At 38.1% G+C, this 26005-nt stretch overlaps 1 protein-coding gene across 21 annotated transcripts in view; it reads left to right on the forward strand.

The window, feature by feature from the left end:
* The window catches only part of SYTL5 (synaptotagmin like 5), a 239906-nt gene that overhangs the window by 29295 nt on the left and 184606 nt on the right, over positions 1–26005 (forward strand). For 13 of the 21 annotated variants that reach the window (XM_017029972.1, XM_047442658.1, XM_011544001.3 and 10 more), the window contains one exon: positions 21373–21480. The exons of the other annotated variants lie outside the window; for them this stretch is intronic. The gene's annotated coding sequence lies outside the window, so the exon portion shown is untranslated. The remainder of the gene's footprint in view (positions 1–21372; positions 21481–26005) is intronic. 21 annotated transcript variants of the gene reach the window in all.

Here is a 26005-nt window from a genome sequence, read left to right on the forward strand (position 1 = left end):
CTTTGGTGAAGGAGATGTTAGTGGATATGAAGCACATAGAGGCTTGAAAAAGCATGTGCACACTTCTACTTCTGTTTTTGTTCCTCTGTCAACTTCAGGAAGATGACAAGAGCCAAAGCTAGCCTGCTGGAGGATGAGAGACATGTGGTACAGAGCCAAGTCATGAAAGTTACCCAAGCTGAAGCTATCTTGGATTGTCTAACAGCCACTTGATCTCCAGGCATTTAGGCAAGCTGAATTGCAGCTGACTATAGATATATTAGCAAACCCAGCCAAAATCAGCCAAGGCCAGGCCATCTGAACTCTGTAGATTTATGGGATAACTAAATGCTTATTTTTGTATGTCACTGAAATTATAGGGCTGTTGTGCATCATTTTATGGCAACAAATAACTGAGGATGGTACTTCAAGGAATTTCTGGGAGAGGCAGAGAACGTGGTTTGGATGCTACATGGCCAGAAGTACCAGTAATCACACTGCAGGATGTTTCTAGCAAACACTTTGCCCCTGCTGCCTCATGGTGCTCAGCATCTGTCATTCTGGAGAATAGCTATTAGAACCTTCACCAGTGCTCTCCAAATGAACTGAATGCCTTGAACTCACTGCTTGAAAGAATCACTGACATCCAGCACAAAGTTCACATTCTCATTCCAGTCATCCCGTGGATGCATCTGACTACTAGATTATAAACCACAATTAGAACTCTAGCTGCAAGGGAGTCTGGAAAGTGTGAGTGAGTGTGTGTGTGTGTGTGTGTGTGTTTAGCTTTCTAGCATCTGCAGTACAAGAAGGCCTGCTAGAAGGGGTTTGGAGAAAGTGTGAGTCATTCTCCAGTATCAGCCATGGAGGCATAGACAAAAGAACTCAACTTCCCGATCCCCTGAGTTTCTTCTATCTCTGCATAGAGATGGTCAAGGTGTTGACAGGACTTAGAATCCCGAGGGGAGGACCCCTGGACCCTTTGACTACTCTACACAGAACTTGACATGGCAGTTTTAGCTCTAGAAAAGCAGTTTCATTCTGATATTAATGACTAGGGGTACTCCTTGTTTTTCCTCCCTTGGCATTTGGCAAAGTGAGTAGCCAGGTGAAACAACACTTTATTCTAATTACGTTGGACACTATAAACAAGGAGTTTGACCTCATTTCACGTTCTCTAAAGCTGAGTAAAAGGTTATAGTAAAAACACTTAGAGAAGTATATTGTATATTCTTATATAGGGAGAATATAAAGGAAGAAAGAAATCTCTGTCTGCCCCATATTCATATGCCAATTCCCTTTGATCTAAGTATCCTAAATACCTAAAAGGTGATCATATTAGGCTGATACATTGTAAACTCACCCTTGCTCTTTAACCCTACTCCCACCACAAGCTAGAATGGTTGTCTGCAGTGTCTGGTCTGGGACACATGTCATTAACTGATTGATAGAAGACATTTCCACAAAACGAAAAGGCTTTGGATATAGATGTATTTATTTGTAAAGTGCCACTTGTAATATTGGCCACATGAAACCTTTATTTGTTCTCCTCTATTTTTCTTCTGAAGACCTTGTTCTAGCTAAATATTTGCTGAAACATTTTTGTAACCTTTTTGTGTTTTAACTTAATAGGCAAAGCCATGCTGTTGTTGACACTAAAAGCACGGAAAAGAATTACATTTGGGCAGTATTTTAAGGGGTGCTTTTAAATTAATCTGGGTGAGAAATTAAGTATACCTCGTATCTGTATAGATAATATCTGAATCCTTGACTGGTTACCAGTAAAAGTAGGAGAAAATCCACTGGAATATATATATGCTTCTGAAGAGCATATGGTCTGTGAACATTCCCAACAGTGGAACATGACCAGAGCATTTACTGGGAGGATCAAAAGATATTCTGATGTTGCCAGGATGCTATTTGGCCCATGTGGATTTGCGCATTCAATCAGTAGGTTTAATATCCTTTGTAATCAATGAAAAAATCTGAATAAGAAATAATAGTCCATTCAGCTCACAGGGAATTTGTGATAACCACTCATTATTATTGTTATTTCCTGAAGTAGTTTACCTTGTATTTTACCAAAAATATTTGGGACGAGGTCTGAAACTTCTGCTCACCAAGGTGCCAAACTGGCATCAAGACTTCAGGCCATGGAAAATCTACCTCCACAGATGGAGTCAAATCTGTGGAGGTAGCTTTTCCTCCTACACCTCTCACTGCAGCTCCCACTACTCCTCTCCCTGTAGAATCGTCTCCTCCAGCCAATTGGTAGAACTACTGGACTCTAGTGATATCATATACATTTCTATATTTTTTCTGTACCCTTTGCCATGCCTAGAGGACCTCCCTGGCTCTCTCTTGGCATCTATGATCTGCCTGGATGAGATCAAGATAAAACTTAGCCATAAATCCAGAATTCTTGTGGTTTGCTCAGCCTTTGCCCACCATTCTCTTCTCTGAACTTCTACCATGTTTATATCTAGCATCTAGGCTAGCCCTTCTGTGCCCCCAATATGTCTACTCATAGCTAAAATGTTAGTTTCTGGAGGATAGACCGATTTGCAATTCTGTGTATCCCCATTCCCTACATCAGTGCCATATGGATACAATAAATACTCAGTTGATGGAATATGATGCCTAGAACATCTAGCACAAAAACCACAATGTTTAAGGAGCAAAATTCCTTGCATTTACCTGGAGCTTCCTTCACAGGCCCACCTGACTACTGACTTCATTCTTATTCTTAAAAGGGTCACATGATCCCTTTCTTACAAAGGTCACATGATTATTTTACTGCTTCCCTCCAGTAATAGAGAGGAAAGGGCTCTGTATTGGTCTTTCATCTCAATTTTCTCCTTGTGCTTTCTGTGCATGAGGTGCCAAAGCAGTGTGGCCCTTGATCTACTCGCTTGACTGATTCTATTGTTTAATCGCCACAACAACCCTAAGAGTAAGTGCCATTATTATTCCAATTTGGAGATATGGAAACTGTCATGGAGAAGTTAAGTAACGTATTATCTCAAGCTATTAACTGGAGGAGCCAAGATTCAAACCAAGACATTACGGCTCCCAGGTCTGTGCTGTTAACTCCTATATGAAACTGTCTTTCCTGATGCCCAGGTATTCCATTAGATGATCCTTGAAACCTCAGAGTTTCTTGGGTCAGAAAGTTTAAGTAAACGGAAGAAATTACAGATCCGGGAACCTCTTCTGTTATTCTCATTGTGCTACCAAGAATCCCACAACATCCTCTTGGTGGAAGAAACAAATGATTAGGAATTTAGTATATGATATTCCCTCAAGGCTGCAAAATACAGTACTTCAGAATTATTCACATCATTAAGATCAAATCTGGTCTATAAGTAAATGCAGATTCAGGATGTGAATTCACACTAAGTAAAGTACAGTGGTTGGAATTCTGCTATTGCCACTTACCAGTTATAATATGGGTATGTTACTTTACCTCTTTTATCTGGCACTTAGTAAATACTAAATAAGTATTAACTACTATTTCTATACCACAATATTTCCCTGTTTCTCTAGCCATCTATGCTTCCTTACAACAAAGCACAGTGTAAAGCTCTTTGCCTCCACCTCATTGGATTAAATAAACAGGTCTGTAAATATAAGAGGGAACAATAATAGTGAAAAAATTGGATACTCAAGAAGTCTAGATGATCAGAGTGACTTTGTTTCTTTTGTTAATGAAAGGATGAGTTGGACGGAAAAGGAGTGAGTCACACTGACAACGAAATGCTACCAATTTAGGATTTGATTCATTATTTTATGACCGTTGCTTGTTTCCTGATGCTATTCATTGCTTATTCATTGGAGGAACAATAATCCCATTTTGGCTTTTGTGGTTTTATAGCTGAGACATCCACTTTGAAGCACATTAGCTACACCTCTCCCTCTCCCTACTACTTCATCACCATCTCAAACATCAGAAAATCAAATTTTGAAAATTGCCCAGAAGTATTGGGTGTACAAAAACATTGGTTTCTCCTTTGGAAGTTCTTCCTGTGAGGGTTTAAGCATGGGGATTTTATAGAGGAGATGAACATCAGGGATATTTGTGGCAATGTCACTTCCCTTCTCTTAAAATGGTGTTGGATGGAGAGCCTCCGAGGTAAAGATTCTCAAATTGTCTGCAGTTATAATGTCCAAATATTCGGGAGAAAATCCCATATGGCAAGCAATAAAACAAAATTATTATGACTTCCAGTTGATGATCCATTTTTAAAGGGATAGTTTGAAGTAATAAAGTAAGTAAATATTAGTCTAGGGAAAATGTGGATATACTTTATGAACTATTTAAATACAAACTATCTTTTCATTTTGTGCCATGACCTGAGACTACTCAATGAATTTTCCATATGTATACATTTGCTCTTACATGTGCCTTTTGGCAATGCCCTTTATTATCCTTGAAAACAAAGGCACCACTATAGTATAATTCAAATGTGTCTAGTTCTTCAGTCCTTAGAGATTGGTGGAGGGGCTGCATTACCTCTCCCTTTAATATAAACTAGGAACATGATTATTTGAGAATGTTGGGGGTCACTTTCCTCTCCCAGTAAGATTGAGGAACCCTGGGTATTTTTACGTGTGTCACAAGCTTAACGTGAATTTTCTCTTGTCCCCTCACTTAGTATCACATACATAACAGCTTTTCTTTCAGTCACCCCTGCTTCCTAGTAACTGGTTCTCCATGATACTACTACCTCTCTCTGACCCATTTCATCCCCAAACTGTGGAAAACAGCCTCTTTCTCAAAACCCAGCTAACAGAAAGTTGTCTTGTTTAAGGCTTGAGGATAATACCAGGGATTTACAATGCAGAAAGGAAATTTAAAACTTGGTATCAGATATATTGTGCTTTCCGTCCATTGGCCCTGCCCTTTTGCAGGGAGGCACACTGTCTTTACTCTCCTTATCTCTTGGCCTGCAGCCATGTTGCAGATGTCCACTTATTCCCCTGCTGTAAGAGTCATTCTTTTCATATCCTCAAATCTTTCTTTTCCTCTATGCCAGAAGAAGCAAAAGCTGTTTACAAATTGACCCTGGGCATAACAAAGACACTGTTCTACATTATTCTACAGAATCTGTTCATGGTTTCTCCACTAGTTTAGTCTTGAGTGTGTAGTAATCTCTCACCTGCTTGGTTACAAAGATGCCCTTAAGTAGTGTTTCCAAGAATGAAAGAAGTACTGTTTCATTTATTACTCTGAAGAGTAAAAATGACTACAGGTTCAAAAAGCATTTTTGATCCTCTAGTCCAGTGGTTTACAAAGGGGAAATATGACTATGGAATCTATAACAAATATAAACTTTATATATATATAAAGAATGGCATACATATACGTATATATATATATCTGTGTATATATATACAATTCTCAGATATATTCTCAAAAGGTTTAACTCCAAAGGTTAAAGGTCATGGAACTCATGTGCTTAGCAGTAGGAGGGGCTCCTTGTGTTAGAAAAACATCACTACCAACAACAACAATTAAGACTTTGCTTCAAAGAACACTGAAACCCACTTAGTCAATATTGTGAATTTCACCTGCAAATCCTGTTTCTAATTTGATTTAAGTGCTTATGATTTAACTCTTTATTAATTACCTTGGTAGAAGCAGGTGACATTCTTAGTTACCATAAGACTTTTCCCTAGTGTGTTGTTCAAAAAACATTGGTGTTATTTGAGGAAAGACTTAATAGTTAGTGACTTAATTCTAAGCTTCTGGGTTTATTTCATTCAGTTAAGTATTTAGGCATATGTTTAAGAGGTTCCCGCCAAGGTTCTGACACTCTACCAGACACCGAAGATGATTCAGACACAGATGCCACTCTCATAAAGCTTATATAACCTCTTGGGGAAAATTGACACAATATAAATAAATACAAAGTAGAAAGTTCTGCATGCCCTAAGGTAAGTCTAGATAAAAAGTAAATTTACATCACTTGGTATGCAAGGCAGTATAATTTCTCTGACTGGCACTTTCCAGTAGCTACGTAGGGCATCCAGCTTTAGCTTCACGACTTTGAATCCCATCAGTCATGGGTTCAAATCCTACCTCTGATACTTAACGACTATATGGTCTTGGGTTATTCACTTATTTTCACTGAACTTTAGTGTCCCCGTTTATACAGCAAGCTTACTAATACTTCAGAGGTTGATGATGAGGATTAAATGAGATAACATATATAGTATATAAAGTGTGTGGCACATAGTAGGTACCTGGAAGGTGGCTTCTCTTTTCCCATTGCTCCATAAACTGACCAAATAGATGTAAATACCTTAATGCGTGAATACTTATTGTATAGCTTATAGAAGAAGTAAGAAGTTACATCTTCCAATCTGAAGGCATAAAAATTTTATGAAATACTTGTAAGTTACTTTATCATGAAGCTTTCCCTGACTGCCCTATATAAAATAGCAAGAGTACTCCTAACCTCTTTTTTACTTCATTTTTCCCTACCACATATCTGAAATATTACATATTTATTGTTTCTATTAATTTTTGTTGATAAATATTAGTTATACATATACCCCAAAAGTTGTACATGTACCCAAAAGGAGTACATGTGGTATTTTGATACCTGTATACAATGTGTAATGATCAAATCAGGGTAATTGGGATATCCATCACCTAAACTATTTATCTTTTCTTTGTGTTGGGAACATTACAAATCTTCTCTTGCTGTTTTGAAATACATAATAAACTATTGTTAACTAGAATTTCCCTACTGTACTATCAAATGCTGGAACTTATTTTTTTTTATCTAAATGTCTGTTTGTATCCCTTAAGCAATCTCTCATTCCCCCTCCCCCTACCCTTCCCAGCCTCTGATACCACCATTCTACCTTTTATCTCCATGAGATTCACTTTTATAGTTCCCATATATGTGTGAAAATATGTGCTGTTTGTCTTCTGGCTTATTTCACTTAACGTGATGACTTTCAGTTCCATTCATGTTGATGTAAATGACAGAATTTCATTTAAATTTTTAATCTTTTCTAATCTTTTTATGGCCAAATAGTATTCTATTGTGTATATATACCACATTTTCTTTATTCATTTATCCATTGATGGACACTTGGGTTGATTCCATAACTTGGCCATTGTGGATAGTGCTGCAATAAACATGGGAGTGCAGATGTCGTTTTGATATACAGATTTCCTTTATTTTGGAAATATTACCAACACTGGGATTGCTGGAGCATATGATAGTTCTATTTTTATTGTTTGGAGGAAGCTGTTTACTGTTTTCTGTAGCAGCTCTGCTAGTTTCCATTCCCACCAACAGTGTATGGTGTTCCCTTTTTCTCTGCCAGCATTTTAAAATTACTCTTTTTAATAATAGCCATTCTAACTGGGATGAGATTGTATCTCATTTTGGTTTTGGTTTTAATTTTTTTATTTCCATAGGTTTTTGGGGAACAGGTGGTATTTGGTTACATGAGTAGGTTCTTTAGTGGTGATTTTTGAGGTTTTGGTTCACCCATCAGCCAAGCAGTATGCACTGAACCCAATGTGTAGTCTTTTATCCCTCACCCCCCTCTTCCCTTTCCCTCAAGTCCCCAAAGTCAATTATATCATTCTTATGCCTTTGCGTCCTCATAACTTAGCTCCTACTTATGAGTGAGAACATATGATATTTGGTTTTCCATTCCTGAATTACTTCACTTAGAATAATAGTCTCCAGTTTCATCGAGTTTTCTGTGAATGCCATTAATTATTTCCTTTTTATGGCTGAGTAGTATTCCATCATATATATATGTACCACAATTTCTTTATCCACTCGTTGATTGATGGGCATTTGGGCTGGTTCCATATTTTTGCAATTGTGAATTGTGATGCTATAAACATACCTGTGCATGTATCTTTTTCGTATAATGACTTATTTTCCTCTGGGTAGATACCCAGTAGTGGATCAAATGGTAGCTGGATCAAATGGTAGTTTTACTTTTAGTGCTTAGAGGAATCTCCATACTGTTTTGGTTTTGATTTGCACTTCCCTGACGATTAGTGATGTTGAGCATTTTTCATATACCTGTTTGCTATTTGTATATCTACTTTTGAGAAACGTCTTTTCAGATCATTTGCCCATTTTACAATACGATTGTTTTTTGATATTGAGTTGTTTAAGTTCCTTATGTATTCTAGTTATTATTTACTTTTTTTTTTTACTGGCTGACCCCCCTCCCCAATAGAACATGTTTCACAAGAGCAGGGGCTTTGTCATTACACTGCTGTGTTCCTGGAGCCTAGAATAGTGTTTAAAATATAGTCAGTGTGCTCAATAAATATTTTTTAAATGAATGATTGCAGGAATTAAGTAAAATTTTAATCAAATAAAATTTAGGATTTTTCTATTGGTTTTAGTAATAAATAGAAAACTTTTGACAAGTGAAGTGGTAGTCACTGCTATATTGGATACTGAGGCTTTACAACTGCATCATGTCTGTTAGTAATGGTCATCTCTTAGCTATTTTTTAAAAAATTTTCATGTGGGCTACCAGTCTCCAGAATCTCTTTCTCTCCATGAACTTTATCATTCTCTCTCAACCGTGATAATTTATTTCTGTCAGGGGTATCCATGATTTCATATTTTAAATTTCTAATCTTCGTTTCTTTTTTCTCTCTGACTCAGTAGTTTGTGTGTGATAGTTGCTCTGTCATATTTTCACCAGTAGGTGCCAGTATTTGATATAACTTATAGAGACAGATCTACCACTTATGGAGGATTGCCTTTCCAGGAAATGTTCTCTCTCTTGTAGATAATTCAGAAAGAGCAAACCATTCTCTCTGCTTGCAGTAAGCCTGTATTGAATCTTCTTTACCTACAAAAAGATGGCATGATTGGGGGGTGAACAAAAGGCTCTGATAGCATTTTTTCACATAAATAAATGCAAATCCATATGGAATCCTTCTGACGGATATGTCTACATACTGGAAAACTTTAAAAGATGTATTTCAATCAACCTAAAAGTTAATTATGCCATTCCATTCCTCAAATATTCAAGAAAGTCTTCCATGCATTTGGGCTACACAGCAGCAAATCCATAATCATGGTTCCCAGCTTGCATATTAGTTTTAGTGTTTTGTTTAAGGCTCTCTGGTTGGGGGAAGAGTTTAATGTAAGATTACCTTAAACCAAATCAAGATACTTTCGAGAACAAAGGGATTCTTATGAGAGACTAAAGCAGGTAAACAAAGGCAGCTCCGACTGATAAAATACTTGTTTGAAGGTGTGTGGAGGAGATGGTGGTATGCAACTTTTAAAAACTGGCAGGGCTAGGTGTGGTGGCTCACTCCTGTAATCCCAGAACTTTGGGAGGTCGAGGCGGGCGGATCACAAGGTCAGGAGATCAAGACCATCCTGGCCAACATAGTGAAGCCTCGTCTCTACTGAAAATACAAAAAAAAATTAGCTGGGTGTGGTGGTGCGCACCTGTAGTCCCAGCTACTCGGGAGGCTGGCAGGAGAATTGCTTTAACCCAGGAGGTGGAGGTTGCAGTGAGCCAAGATTGTACCATTGCACTCCAGCCTGGGTGACAGAACAAGACTCTGTCTCAAAAACAAAACAAAACAAAACAAACAAAAAAACTGACAGAATTCACAGATACTCCTTCTGTCTTATCGTGTACTTGCCCTGGATTCTACTCTATAGCATCAGTCAAGCCACCATAACTTTTCTTGGAAGTGAAAAAATGGCCTGAAAATATGGCTAATCCCCAAGATAACTTTAAAATACTTTCAGAAGTAGTTTCAAAGAAAACACAATGGAAATGGTGAGGTTATACAGGTCTGGCTCAAACCTTGTGTGAGTTGATATGGAAAAGAAAATTTGATTTTATTACTTAAATATTTTACATGAATTGCAAAGAGGAAGTGAAGGCATTACATATATACCTGTCCAGAATCATTCCCTGATTTCATGACATTTCCACATTTGTATCTACTTGTTCACTGCCCATGCATGGGGGCTGTATCAAGTTTTGGGGGTCCTGCACCTTATACTATTTAAGTGGTTGCCATTAAGAAAATGGTTACAAAATAAATATCTCACACATTCAACCTAACTAGTCCCCCTTTCCAGAGAAGGAGCTTTCTCATCCATTCACTGCAGTCCCTTACCTAATACATACCCTCACACCGGGGGTCAGCAAGCTACTGCTTTGTGAGCCAAGCCTGGATCACCACGTTTTTGTATTAGAACATAGCCACATCCATTCAGTTACAGATTGTCTATGGGTACCTTTGTCTTACACTTACCAAGTTGAGTAACTGCCACAGAGACCACAAAGCCCTGCAAAGCCTAAAATATTTACTCTCTGGCCAACTACACAAACTGTTTACCAACTCCTGCCTTACACAGTAGCTGTGGGTTCTAGCCCCACTTCTCTCTGGATCTACCCAAGAGAATCTAAAACAACCATTCACCACATCATAGGATTGTATAAGACATCAGGTTAATCAACTGGACAAACCCTCGTGCCTTTTGATTTTGTCTTCTAAGAAGTCCAAAATCAAATTTAGTCCTTATTATAATAACTCATCCCTGATTACTGGCACAATTATTTTTCCATTTCTCATTAAATTTTATTTTTTCTTTATCTTAGTCCAGTGGTAGTGACTTTTTGGTAAGCCATCTTATTTCTTATCCGGAAGGTGGAATTTAAGTGGTAAGCTAACATGGTAAATTATTATCAGTCTGCCTAATTAGTCATATGTGCTTTAGAATATTTAAAGCAGGACTAAAAGTTGCTATTTTTAAAAAGCTACCTTGGAGTTTGTGCTTGTAACTCCCAAGGTGAAGACAGAATTTATCACTGGGATACCTGAGCTTTTGTGTACACAAGAAAAATAATATTTTAATGCATCTCTTAGTTATGCAGAGGCAAAGCCCAGATCTTACAATGCATAAAAATGTAAAATGTTGTTTTCTTTGGAGTAAGACTGCATCTCTGGAGGATTATTGTGCTATTAATGGGCTTTTCACCTGTTTTTTCTTCCTTAAAGGGAGTGTGTTGTAGGCCCAAGAGTTTGAGAGAGAGCACAAGACAGAGGTCACTAATCTGAGGAGATAAGGGCTTTTCTTCTCAGCAACAGGATGGCATGCTGAGTGGCTAAAGAGGAAGGGGGTCAATATGAGACCTCTGGGAATGAATAAGACCTGTGGGCTCTAGAAAACTCAGAACAGGTTTTAAATCTTTCCAGATTAGTGTTTAAATTACCCTCTGTTTACCACAAAGCTTCAATAAAGTTTTTAAAATAATAGCCTACTGTTTATTTTGCTTTGGTAAAAGATGGGCAAGGCTGTATTATGCTTTGCATCAACTATTGTTGAGATAAGTAGAAGTGAAGAAGGTACCATGCAGAGGAAAACAAAAGGGAGGGGCAGTTACAAAATGGATAGGGGTGGTCTGAGGAGGATTGAAGAGGTGATCCTAGCCTGATCTGAGACAAATGGCCACCTTTGGGAAACCTCAGAAGCATTTGAGGAAATTATTTCCTTTTGCTAAATCAAAAGAGAGATCTCAGAAAGCTGGAATGCCAGAGTTGCTTATGTAAAGCACTTTGACAAATATGTTATTAGATGACTTTAGGGTTATGAATGAGAGACGTGAAAACTATAACTGATTTGGTTTTCATCCTTCTAAAAAGAAAAAAATATAATAAGAATTCAGAATTCAGTCAGGCTGCACAGAGGTTAACTGAAGGAAGTTAGCTGAAAATTAATTGGAATTCGGGGTCGACTTCTAGTTAAGTCAAATGGAACCATTAACTTTAGGGTAAAACCTGAAACCAACAAAGACCAATCCCTCTCAAAAAGATAGAGAGTCTCTTGTTTTCATAGCAAATGTATAAAAGGGTAAGGGCACCTATTAGGGCCTTACCCTAGTAGATTCTGTGTCCTGACAACCTGACCCGTCCGCTGAGATGGTAACCCTGGTTTAACTAGTTGGTAATTCCAGTTTGCTTAAGCATTGAGATTGCTATGTTGAGACAGCTGGTTATCCTTAAATATTATAATTTACTTTTTTATTTTAATAGAACCCCAGATTTTTAGCTGGGCACATGTGTGCTCAGAATCAAGATTATATTTCCTAGCCTTCTTTATAGCCAAGTTTGACCATACGAATATGTTTTTGTCAAAGGGATATAAGAAGTGATGTACAACATCCAGAAGCTATCTCTGAAGAGAGAAAAAGCCTATCTTTATTCTTTCCCTTTTTTCCCTTCTTTGTGGCTGGAGTATAGATAAGATGGCTAGAACTGGAGTAGTCATCATTGGCAATGAGGTGACCTATACTAGAGCAACAAGATAGAAGGAGCCTGGGTCCTTGACATGATGAAACTGCCGTACCAATCTGACTGCCTTTCTCTAGACTTTTACATCAGGGGAAGTACATTTTTCCTTGGTCAGCTACTTTTGCAGGTGAATCTCATCCTGATTAATTTCGCACAAAATGCTCAGCTCCCTTGAAATGAAAACATTGTGTCTTAGTTGTTAAGTTTATTTTCTACCCATGGAACATGAAGAACAAACACAGGGTTTGCATCAGTTATCTCTCTCTACTATAATGCTGTGTAACAACCACAAAATCTCTGTGATGCAACTCAAATTTCCTCCATGTGTCCCTCATCCTCCAGCAGGATAGCCCAGGTATGGTCTCATGGCAATGATAGAGGAAAAAGAGAACAAGTACTTTTTCAAGCCTCTAGTTGTCTCATGTTTGTTAACATCACATTTTCCAAAATAAGACATGTGCCTGGACTCAGAATCAAGGGGTAGGAAAATATATTGTCTCTTGATAGGAGGAACTGCAGTCAATTGGCAAATGGCATGGATACAGGGAAGGGTAAAGAATTTACGTCATTATTTCAATCATTCTAACCTTCATATTAAAGTTTTAAAAATAAGCTTAGAATTAAATTTTGGGATAGGTTTTCATAATAATTGTAATACTGTATCCATTTGGTATTTAATGGTTTTGCAATATCAGAGAGAATTTGGCATGTTAGAGAATATGCAAGACTTAGATTATGATTCCAATTCCAAATGTAAGATTTTGTCATTGATTTTAGTCTTTTGAATGATATTTGGAAAGTGTGAGATAAATTTACTAAGTTAGCAAACAGTACTGAAGGCCTAAGAGAAGTTCAGGTTCACTAGGTCTCAAGTTGAATTTTTAGATTTTCTAGCATTAAGTTTTGTGAAAATATCTTATTTGGTACTCTTCTGAAATGTTAGCCCTTCTAAAAGGCTTTCCCTGACCATTCAATAAAAAGTGACTATATCACTTTACCTTCTCTTCTATAGAGCATTTATCAGTATCTGGAATGATACCATATACTTGTTTATTACCTACTTTACCCACTAAAATACAGTCTCCACAAAGGCAAGCATTTTGTTTTGCTTGCTGCTGTATCCAGAACACTTATAAAGGAGCTTGATATATAGTAGGTGCTCCAAAATTTGCTGAATGACTGAATAAAGCTTTGGTTTTAGGTCATGGCTTTGAAATACTTAAAGAGAAATTTTAATATAATAAATTTATGAATGTAATTCAAATCCTGTAAATTAATTAACTGAATTATAAACAGGGCTAATAGTTTGAGGAGTTCAGTCTGCTCAATTTGAGTTGACTAAATATTAATTAAAGGTTTTCTAGTCAGTGGCTAATAGTTTAAGGAGTTCAGTCTGCTCAATTTGAGTTGACTAAATATTAATTAAAGGTTTTCTAGTCAGTCACTGTTAAAATTTAGTGTGTATAGAAATAGAATAATAGGATTTGCAAACTGGTCTTAAAGACTTATAGGAAAGCTAGCTTGTTAAATGTTGTTTTAGTAATTGAATATTATTTTTAAAAGTAAATTTTAAGAATTAAAAAAATAAAGTAACAATACTGATTATTTCTGAATTAAAAAACTGTGCAAGGACTTAGGAATCCTCATACTGTCCACACGAAGTCTGTATGATGCACATATCGAGGGGCATGGAGCAGTAAACAGCTGAGTCCCAGAGAAGGAGCGAGGAGACATTATTTACTGGGATTGCTGTCACTGTGGAGAATGATGATGGTGTAACACAGGAAATGTAGGGGTTGGGGTAAAATGGAGGGGGAGCCATCTTTACTTTAAAGAGATGGGTAAACCTTTTCATGTCTTCAAAACTGAAATTGACTTCTGTCTCTCCAAAAACCCCATGATGAGTCAAGACAGAGTTGAGGAGAGAGAATAAAGGAATATTTAGGAGGAATTATGGTAGCATTCCTTTTATAAATCAATTGAAAAGGAGAACAAATAAACAATTTTCAAAGGCTTAATGATAAAGGTACCCACTGAGGGTGTTGGAATAGCAGTAATGGCAGTCACAATGACTCTGGTTTTCATCAGAGCAGAATCTCCTGTTTCTGGCTTTAATTATCTACCATTTTGGCTATATTGTCACATAACAACCACCTCAAAAACTAGTGGCTAAAAATAATTATTTTATTTTGTTCACAATTTTGTGGGCAAAGAATTTGAGAAGGGCTCAGCAGGACAAATTTCTGGTTCAGATTGTATGAGCTAGAAAAGATGGGACTGCGAGGTTAGCTTCCAAGAAGAATTTTTTTACCCACATGCCTAGTACCTTAGTGCTCTTTGATCTCTCACTCTCTACATGTTGTATCATTCTTCAGAGCCTCTACGTGTAGCTTGAGATTCTCACAGCATGATGGTCTCGGGGTAGTTGCCCTTCTTACAGGATGGCTGGCTTCCAAGAGGCAGAAAGTAGGAGTTGCCAGGGCAGTTATGGCCTACAAGTGGAACTGGAGTAGCATTACTTCCACTGACTCAGTTGGTCAAAGCACTCACAAGGCCTGCACAGATTTAAAGGAGGTGGCGATATAGACTCCACTTTTTAATGGTGCAGTGTCAATGTCACATTGAGTGAAAATGGCAGAGTAAGGACCTCTGAAAATTCACTCCTACATAAAAATAATAAGAACACTGAAAAATGGTCAGAATCAACATTTTCAGAACTCTGGAAATTAACCAAAGGGTTGCGCTAATCTGGGGAGCATTTATTCAAGAACAATGGCTAAAACTCATTAAGAACTGCAAAAATTTCTGGCATTTTAACTTTCCATATTCCCATCCCCCTCTCTTCAGCCCCATGGTAGCCTTAAAAAAACCAATAGCCTACAATCAGTGAAAACCAGCATCCTGACAGCCACCGGAAAGGGTAGAACAGAGTTGAAGCACTCTGCAACATTCCAGAGAATTATCATTATTTGACCTGTCTGTGGTTCCCTGAAAGATCACTCTCAAAGCTGTCTTTATTTTACCTGACTTGGAGCTTGCTCAGTATGTAAAGCTTTTTCTTCAGAGAATTTGTCAAAAACAACAGAGGCAATTGTTGAACCTTGAAGCTGCCTGAGGTGGTACATAGATTGCAATTGAGGTAGACAATAGGCTAAACAAAAAACTTAAATGGAATAACTGGAAAATGAAATGTCCATGGGGGCTTCAAAAATTGTAACATGTTTCTGGAAATCTGGAGGGCCATGCACATATATAGGGCTCTTTGCATGCTCAAGAAAAACCTGAGAAGTCTCTAACTTTTTATGTCTGACTAACCTCAAGGTGCTCTGCAAATAGGAAGTAAAGGCTAAGTTGGAGTTGTAAACTCTCTGCCTGAGTGTTGAGGGGGTGCCTCAACATGCACTCAGAGACCCTCAACAAAGACTAGGAGACTTATTGGTTTCAGACATGTAAGGAAATCTCAATCTAATCATTAGCTAACAGAGTAGAGACTCCACTGGCCACACATGACAAGAAATACAGATTTCACTGAATTAGTTTAGAAAAGTCACTAAGCAATCAAGAAACCCTGGGGAGGTAGGAGAAATTGATTTCCAGAGTTACCACATTATATTATTTTAAATGTCCACTTTTAAATTACGAGGCATGCAAAAGAACAAGAAACTATGGCGTATCCACAGGAAAAATGAGTCAATAGAAACTATCTTTGAGGAAGACCAGTTGCTGAGGTTACTGACTTGAAATCAGCTATTTTATAAAGAGCTGAAGGAAACCACATCTAAAGAACTAAGGAAAAGCATAGAACAATGTCTTACAAGTACAGAACAGAACATCAATAAAGAGATAAAGTATTTAAAAAGAAACTTGCAAGTTGAAAAGTTCAATAACTAAAATAAAACTTTCAGTCGAGGTGTTCAACAGATTTGGGCAAGCAGAAGAAAGAATTAGTGGACTTGATAATAGACTGATTGAGATAATCTAATCTGAGGAGCAGAAAAAAAAAAGAAAAACATAGCCTAAGAGACCTGTGGGACACCAGCAGGCATACTAGCATATTCATAATGGGAGTCCTAATAGGAGAAGAGAGAGAAAAGACAGCAGAAATAATATTTCTTTTTTTTTTCTTTTTTTTTTTTGAGATGGAGTCTTGATCTGTTGCCCAGGCTGGAGTGCAGTGGCACGATCTTGGCTTATGCAACCTCTGCTTCCTGAGTTCAAGTGATTCTCCTGCCTCAACCTCCCAAGTTGCTGGGACTACAGGCACCCGCCACCACACCCTGTTAATTTTTGTATTTTTAGTAGAGGTGGGGTTTCACCATGTTGGCCAGGCTGGTCTCAAACTCCTGACCTCAAGTGATCAGCCTGCCTTGGCCTCCCTAAGTGTTGGGATTACAGGCGTGAGCCACAGCGCCTGGCCGAATGCTTCAAAATAAAATGGCCAAAAACTTCACAAATTCAATAAAAGATATGAATCTACACATTCGAGAATCCCTATGAATTCCAAGTTGGATAAACTCAAAGAGATCTACATTTAGACAAACAATAATCAAACTGTCATCATGAAGAGAAACCTTTGAAAGCAGCAATATCATCACAGATCAGGAATCTCCAATAAGATTAGCAGCAGGTTTCTTATCACAAACCAAGGAGGACAGAAGGCAAAGTGTTGATATATTTGAAGTGCTAAAAGAAAGAGACTGTCAACTAAGACACTAAGACTTCTATATCTATCAAAACTATCATTCAAAAGTGAAGGAGAATTTAAGGCATTCCGGATAAATAAAAACAGACAGAATTTGTCACTAGCAGACCTGTCCAACAGGAAAAATTAGAGAGTCTTTCAGGCTAAAATGAAAGGACACCAAACTGCTACTCAAAACCATGTAAAGAAATAAAGAACCCAGGTAAAGATAACTACATAGTTAAACATATATAAAGTATAGCATAAATTTATTTTTTCTTTTTAACTGTTTTTTCTCCTCTTTGATTTAAAAGGCAATTTCATAAGGCAATAATTGTATGTCTGTATTGATGGGCATGCAATGTTTAATGCTTTAATTTTTATGACAATATCTACACAAATAAGGGTGCATAGAATGGAGATAAATTGGAGCAGTGTTTTTTGTATTATGTTGTAATTAAATTGGCATGAATTTGAGCCAGTTTGTTTTAAGTTAAGATGTTAATTGTCATTGCCAGGGCAACTACTAAGAAAATATCTTAAAAAAATACAGTAAAAGAAATGACAAGAGAATTAAAAGGTACACCAGAAAGTATCTTTTTAACACAAAATAAGGCAATAATGGATGACTAAAAGAACAAAAAGGCATAAGGCATATAAAAAATAAATTTCAAAATGGCAGACACAAATCCTGCTTGACGAGTAATCGCATTAAATATAAGTGAATTAAACAGCATAACGGATTTTTAAAAATGATACAACTGTATCCTGGCCACAAGAGACATACTTTAGATTCAAAGTCACAAATATGTCGAAAGTTAAAAATGGAAAAAGATATACCATGCAAATAGTAATCAAAAGAGAGCTGGAGAGGCTATTCTAATATCAGACAAAATAGACTTTAAGACAAAATTGTTGCTAGAGATAAAGGAATACATTTAATAATAAACAGTGTCAATCCAACAAGAAGATATGAAAATTATAAACATATATGCACCCACGAAGAGAACATCAAAACACATGAAGCAAAAATTGACAGAAAAACGTATGTGATGGGAGATATTGTTGTGGCCATCTTTAGAAAATATAATCTGCCACATGCACTAGAAAAATTACACTATGTTTAGTATTCACATTATCTTGTTCTAGTAACTCTCATTTAGATATCTGTTATAGAAATTAATGGACTGATTATCCCTCAAATCTCAAGATCATTTATTAAGACTTCACATTAGCATCCAGAGGCTGAGGAGGCTGAGGAGTTCATATGATACAGCTCATATAATTTTAAAAAGAAAGTATCCTTTTATCTAGGCTTTTCATCTTTTATATATAAGCCTGCCTTCCCCTAGAGGTCTAGATATAATGTATTGATAGCCAGCTATTGAGGACTGTAGGTGATTCACTCACCTCCGACTTCTAGAGGCAAATTCTTATGGTCAACCAGGAAGCTGAGGCTTCCTTCATTGAACATTTAGAATGCGGTTATTCACCCAACAGTTGATATAGTCCATGTCATACTCATAAATTGTTCCCACAAGGGGACAGTATATATCAAAACAGACTAGGTGCAGTGGCTCACGCCTGTAATCCCAACACTTTGGGAGGCAGAGGAGAGCAGATCACCTGAGGTTGGGAGTTCGAGACCAGCCTGGCCAACATGGAGAAACCCTGTCTCTCTTAAAAAAAAAAAAATACAAAAATTAGCTGGGCGTAGTGGCAAGTGACTGTAATCTCAGGTACTTGGGAGGCTGAGGCAGGAGAATTGCTTGAACCCGGGAGGCGAAGGTTGCAGTGAACCGAGATCATGCCACTGCACTCCAGCCTGGGCAACAGAGCAAGACTGTCTCAAAAAAAAAAAAAAAAAGTACGTTGACAGATGTGGTAGGTACATTTTCTAGAAATTCTCCCCATGATTCCAGGTCCCAATCCCCAGGACCTGTGAAGGTAATTGGGTATGAAATTTGTGATTGAGTCTTGACTCATACATTGAGTCTTGTTACAGCTGTGTTACTTCATAACACAGTTGTAAAGGTAAGCTATCAGGGTATCGAGTAGCCTAATCTAAACACATGGGCCCTTAAAGTAGAGAATTTTCTCCAACTGCTGGCAGAAGAAGAGGGCAGACGGGAATGTCAGAGACATTCAAAACGCAAGGCGGCTTTGATTCACCACCATTCCTAGCTTTGAAGATGAAGGGGACCACATGAAAACTGTGGATGGCCTCTACAAGCTGAGGGAGGCTGTCAGCTGCCAGTCAGAAAAGGAAGGGGGACCTCAGTCCTACAACTGCAAGAAATGAAGTCTGCCAACAACTTAAATGAACTTTAGGTTGAAGCAGATTCTCCCCCAAAGCCTCTTGAAAAGAGCTCAGCCAGCCAACATCTTGTGAAACTCAGCAGAAAATCTAGCCACGTCCACCCAGAATTATGGCCTACACAACTGTGAGGTACTAAATGAGTGTTCTTACAAACTGCTTAGTTTATGGTAATTTGTTACACATCCATGGCAAACTAATACAGTGGATCAACAGAGTACCAATGTGGAATCCCCATTAATTCTTATCTTTCTTCTTCCCATGATCACATGAGTGAGCTACACAGATGTTGTATATAAAGCAAACATGAAGATGTCTATGACAAGCGATGGGCATTGCAAATTCAGGGATTTCCCCAACACAGACAGAAAGTCTATGGATTTAATGATTGTTGCATATGTGATACAGGTTTTATTATTGCTTCAAAACATTATGTTTCATTATGGAAGGGGGTTGGGCTGTAATCCTGGCTGGAGGATATATGAACTAAGAAAATATTACTACATAGATGATTGGGGGAATATGTGAGAAATGAATACATGATATATGTGCACAATTTCAACTTTATTTTTACTGCAGCAGATAATGATAAGATGTATTTTCACTGAGCCTGCAGAATTTAAAGGGCTTGTCCAGGGAGATTTTTGAATGTACAGGTTTGGAAAGTTTTCAGAAAATGAATAGAGAAACTTATCTATGGATGTCCTTTATTGTCCAATCTTCCGTCATTGAAAATAACCCTTTGTCAGGCACTGGTGATAACTATCAAATTGTTAGTCATTCTGTAGCCCCACTAAAGTAGAAAATCTTTCTGCTCTCAGATGCTGCATCTCTCTAATAGTAGCAGCCTAACCTTGCACCTTGACATGAATCAACTTGTGGCTGGCTTTAAAATACTTAAGCAAATGCTTATTTGCATTGAATTTTTCATTTCTTTATACTATATCTCCTTGTTGTTCATAAAGTCACATGCTTTAAAACTTTGGTTTGAATGGAAAAGAAACTTAAAGATACAAAGAGCTGAGGATGATCCCTAACCCACAAAATAAGAATTTTCCATCTCTGCCATTCATTGTGTCATTTTGTCATATTCTCTCTCTCTGTCTCTCTTTCTCTCTCTCACCCCTCACTCCTTTCCTCCTTCCTTCCCTCTTCAGCCTCCTCCCTTGCCCCTGTTTTAAATATGTATTCCTATCCCATTGTAATGCCAAAATGCTTTAGACTGAGCACAACCCTCACTTGAGCTTTTTCCCTTTTATCAGCTAAGCTTGGAATTTTTCAAAGGTTAGATATGATTACTTACTGTGAAATACTAAGACAGACCTTCTGGCAATTGTTCTTTCATCCAAATGAAGGGTTGAACTTTCAAACAGTTCATTTACTAGGTACTGCACCTATTCAAATGAGCCTGCATTAATACAAAAATTTTTGAAACAAAGTTGTTGAGATTGTTTGAAAAATGGTCAGGCGCGGTGGCTCACACCTGTAATCCCAGCACTTTGGGAGGCCGAGGCAGGCAGATCACCTGAGGTCGGGAGTTTGAGACCAGACTGACCAACATGGAGAAACCACGTCTCTACTAAAAATACCCAAAAAACTAGCTGGGCGTGGTGGCAGGTGCTTGTAATCTCAGCTACTCGGGAGGCTGAGGCAGGAGAATCACTTGAACTTGGAAGGCAGAGGTTGCGGTGAGCTGAGATCGCACCATTGCACTCCAGCCTAGGCAACAAGCAAAACTCCTTCTAAAAAAAAAAGAAAAAAAAAGAAAAAAAAAGAAAGATAACCCATTCCACAAGAAGAAGATCAGTTTCCTTACAAGCAGATTATTGTTTTAGTCACAAATTTATACCTAGGCTTAACTTCTTTCTATGTTTTAGCTTTATCTTTATTCTTCTATCCTTCCTCTGCTGTGCTGGTGCTGTGGTAGAAATTATCTAGAGGAAGACCTGTATAGGGCAGCGGCAGGGCCTGGCTTAAGATGAGACCTGGAGAGTATTGCTAATAATTACAATGGGAAATGGAAAGGCTATCTTAGAATATTTTATGTGCTATTCATTGTCATCCTAGGTGCACTGGCTGAGCGCCATCAATTATACACATTAATGCAATTAGTCAAGATACAGAAGCTTGTATTCCAAATGAAAATTTCCTACATCTGAGGCATCTGTGTAAAAGGTAAGATGTGCTACATTTCCAAAACTGTGTCTAAAATTCTATTTACAATGGGTTACGAACTCAATACCCCTAGAGGCAAGGCAGGTAGACAATGAGGAAATGGTGATAACTATGATAAATTGGGTGTGTCTGCCCTATCTTTTTGTCTTGTTTTGTTTTGAGATAGAGTCTCCCTCTGTTGCCCAGGCTGGAGTGCAGTGGCGCAATCTTGGCTCGCTGCAAACTCTGCCTGCCAGGTTCAAGCGATTCTCCTGCCTCAGCCTCCTTGAATAGCTGGGACTACAGGCGTGCGCCACCATGCCCAGCTAATTTTTTTTTGTATTTTTAGTAGAGATGAGGTTTCACCATGTTGGCCAGGCAGGTCTCGAACTCTTGACCTAAGGTGATCCGCCCGCCTCAGCCTCCTAAAATGCTGGGATTATAGGTGTGAGCCACCTCACCTGGCTGTGTCCACCCTATCTTAAGGAGAGAGCCATTCTCCAACCTCTGCCTTTTGTTGCCACACAGATTCTGAGACCACTGTTGCCTGATCCTGATTCTTGAAAGAGGAAGCAGAAACATGGATTATTTTATTTGAATTCCCCTATATGTAAATGCTTATTCCTTTTTCATACAAATGAAACATAATAGACAAGACAAACAAAACACTCCTATAGGCTGGATTTAGCCACTGGATCATTAATATCAAGGTGACCATTAAAATCAAGGGTTCCCATGGGAGACGGAACTTGCAGTGAGCCGAGATCGCGCCACTGCACTCCAGCCTGGGCGACAGAGCAAGACTCCATCTAAAAAAAAAAAAAAAAAATCAAGGGTTCCCAGTGATCTCGTTTCCCACATTGGTTCTCTCTCTTTTACTAGGTATACATGTTTAGTATACAGACAAGTATTTTCAGTTAGGGATAGGTGTGTATGTATATATATATATATATATATGTATATAATTTGTGCAAGGATGTTATCTTTTGCATGAAAATCAATCTAGGTGTATGAACTGGGCCTGTAAAATTTATTGGAAGTCAGTAATAAATAAATATGACCACTGTGTTTATTTTACTGTCTTCTGATTAAATTTTGTGTTGACTCTGGGGTAAATTATCTGATATGCTGCAATGGGATATTTCCAGGAGACTTATTTGGAAAACCTGATTAGAACCCAGTAGAGGGTAAATGACAGAGTCCAGTGAAAGAAATCATTCTTGGAGGCAGTTGTTTTCACTCTTCATGACTATTTCTAGAAATAAGCTTTAGGGAAGGATGTTGCCTAACTAGGGCTTACTGTAGAGGGATTTTCCTGTTCCTACTGGCAATTTATGTAGTTACTATGAATCAGTGGTAGAATTAGATGCATTTGTTGACTGAATCAATTGGAGTTTCTGTTTGTTTTAAATCAGGCATACAATATATCATGCCTTACAATGACAATTAAATACAGATTTAGAATCACTGGATTATTAAATGTAAGTGTCATAAGGACAAGTAAAATGCATCGACTTCAGGGATTCCCTGCCAGAAAGTCATGCTTACTGGATTCATTGCACAGCCGTATCTGGGACCCGCTCCCCACCACATCCAGCTTGTGCAGGGACAATCCCAGAAAGAAATGTAAAGTGGCTGATTACAATTTTGGAGTGTATTTCCTGAGACCCCTTACCCCTTTCTGACCTTGTAATTCATCATTGACGTTAACATAATAATGATGATTGAGGTAATAAAGCCTAGATCTTTAACATATGAAGTTCAGAGACCATAGCAGAGGCTGCTGGTGCCCTACCATCCCTTCCGTGTTCACCCGGACATGCAAAAGGCTGCTTGCTGCAAAAACCTGCTACTATTACTCTCTGTCTGAGGGCTTTTTTTCCCCTGTGGTCAAAGAGGCAAGCTCTCCTTGTGTCTAGGATAAGGTCCCCAGAAGTAGCCTTTAACCAATGACTGATGGGAAGTTGATGGATAAAAACACCCCAACTTCTTTGACTGTCAAATTATGTATCTCTAAGACGTGACTTTGCATTTCCAGCAAGTTCCCATGTGATGCTTATCCTGCTGGCCAGGGACTACACTGTGAGAGCCACTGTACTAAAGACATTGAACCACATCAAGGACTGAAGCATTTTAGGATTTGATCACGTGTTCTTTTCATAGAATAATTTTCTAAAATCTATTTTTACTTATGCCTCCTACCCACGGAAGTCAATTACTTGAAATAACTTGTAGGGAAAAAAAAACTTTTCATTTATATTTTATCTTAGCCATTCCCTTACTGTGATTTTGATTTTCTTGCTGTCAGGGTTAACCGTTTTGGTAGGCCTAAACTACCATTAAAAGTCGTTAGTGGTATAAATTTTCTAATAATTCAGAAAAATTCTATTGTATTATTTGTGAATCTAATTGAGTTAATGAGTTTTATTCTACAAATAATATTTATAATAATAGGTCTTTCATAAACATAAGCACAAATTCTTTCATTAGTACATTTTTCCTGTATGTCAACATTTTAAATAAAGTACATATGTGAATTTTATGGCATTTTTTCATTTGTGATCATATATTTCTTTAAGGGAAATAGCACATCACTTCAGATTCCTGTTAATTTTACCTGCTGTCATCTCCTACTTAAATGAGTCATGTCAAGTATTACGTGCTGCTTCTCCTGACAAGTACCTGAAAGTTGGAGCAATTTTCACACACTCTGTCCTATTCTTCTGTCATAGTTCTTCAATGCATTATGGGCAGGAAATGACTTTGACTGATGAGAAGAGTTAGTGGGAGGATGTTCAAATCAAATGGCACTTATCCTTGCCCTCCACCCCCTTATCTCTAAGAACTCCCCACAGATGGCTTACGTTGTCCTGGGCTGGTTTATGGTATAGCACCATTCTCTGCTAAGCTCTTGAACACCAGCTCATCTGCTTAATTCCAGGTCTTCTCTATCCGTTCTGGGCTCTCCTATCCTCTTCCCCATTGCTGTGCTTCACTTCTCCCTTTTTTCAAATAAAACTAACATATGGCTTTTGTGTGTGGCCGATTTCTAAATCTTGGAAATAACAGGGAAGGGAAAAAATGGTGACAACCCAGCCCAGTACCACAAACTTACAACAGAATATCATGCCACCATGTTCTCAGTTCTTTAGCTATGCCCGATCACAGAGAATTTCTCCTCAGGCCTCCATATTGCTTATATCTTTGCCTCTTCCTCTTTCTGTCCCCTGCTTTCATCCCTTCCTCCCTTCTTGCTGGCCTCCCTTCTGGCCACCTTAGTCTCTCTTACTCTGTTTCATGGTGTAATTTGGCTCTCATTCATTTAAAATTTGAGCAAGGGTCCTCACATTTCTCTATGAACAAGTCAGTCAAGGCCCATCATCAAAGTATTTTTCTAAACAAAAGAGCTATCTACCTCTGAGAAGATTTGAATCATTCCCCTAGAGAGGATGAAGTGACCATAGTCAGTATTGTTTTAAGTACCATTTTAAATTCTCACTACATTTGTTAAAGGGAAGACAATAGGGAGGCTTACTGCTGAGAGTATTTTTGTGAATTGACACAGGTTTGGAAAGGAAAACTAAGGTGAATTAGGAAGTGCATTGCTGGCTTATGTTAAAGAAGAAAATGTTTAAGGACTCTTGCTAAAGATGGTAATGAAGGCTTTATTTGGGGAGACTATTGGCTATAGGTAGAGGAACCACTGCAATGAGGTCTTGAAATGGGGGAAGGAGACTGGGCTTAACTCTGACTCCAATAAGGCCAAGTGGGGATTTACAACCAAGGAGCAGGTTGAGGGTCAGTGGGTGGAAAATTACTAAAAGGAAACCTCAGGGTAAGGGTGACTCTTACTAGACCAACTCAACATAACTCCTGCTGAAGGCTGGCCAGGGTGATTTGATATCGAGGATGGGGGATGAGAAATTTGATTATACAAAGTGTGGGGGATTTTCAGTAAACTAACTTAGCCCCATTCTTGCTTATACTTGATTCTACAGGGACAAAGAGGGGAGCCCAAGGTCGGAACTAGGTTAAAGGAGGGAGTCTTTGTTACTTAGAAGTCAGATTCCTCGTTTTAGCTCTGCTTCTGTCTGGCAGTGTGGTCTTTAACAAGCCACTTAATGTCTCCCAGCCTGTGTTTCATTTGTAAATCGAGAGAATTTGTTCTGTGTCTTTCAAGCTGAAGCATAAGCCTAAACAAAACAAACAAAAATTCACCATGGCTCCTGTTGAAGCAAGGGAGGAGTCCAGACCTACCCCTTTATTTTTTTCTCTCCCATGGCCTCATCGGCAGAGTTCTGAACACACTAATCTAGATGATTTTCATAAACAATTGTTCCCTGCTTTTCTGGAGCTTTTTATCAAAATTCAGTTTACTATAAATGCTCCTTATATGTCAAGCAGAAGCCTCTCAGGTGGAAGCCTGAGAAAGGAACTTCCCATGGCCTGACATAGCTGAGGAATTTTGGAGCATAGTCGTTTCATGTTTATTTATGGATTGTTTATGGCCCTAGGCTAAGCTATAACCAAATCTTCTTACTCACCA

Source organism: Homo sapiens, chromosome X (genome assembly GCF_000001405.40).
Source record: "Homo sapiens chromosome X, GRCh38.p14 Primary Assembly".
NCBI classification, from domain to species: domain Eukaryota; kingdom Metazoa; phylum Chordata; class Mammalia; order Primates; family Hominidae; genus Homo; species Homo sapiens.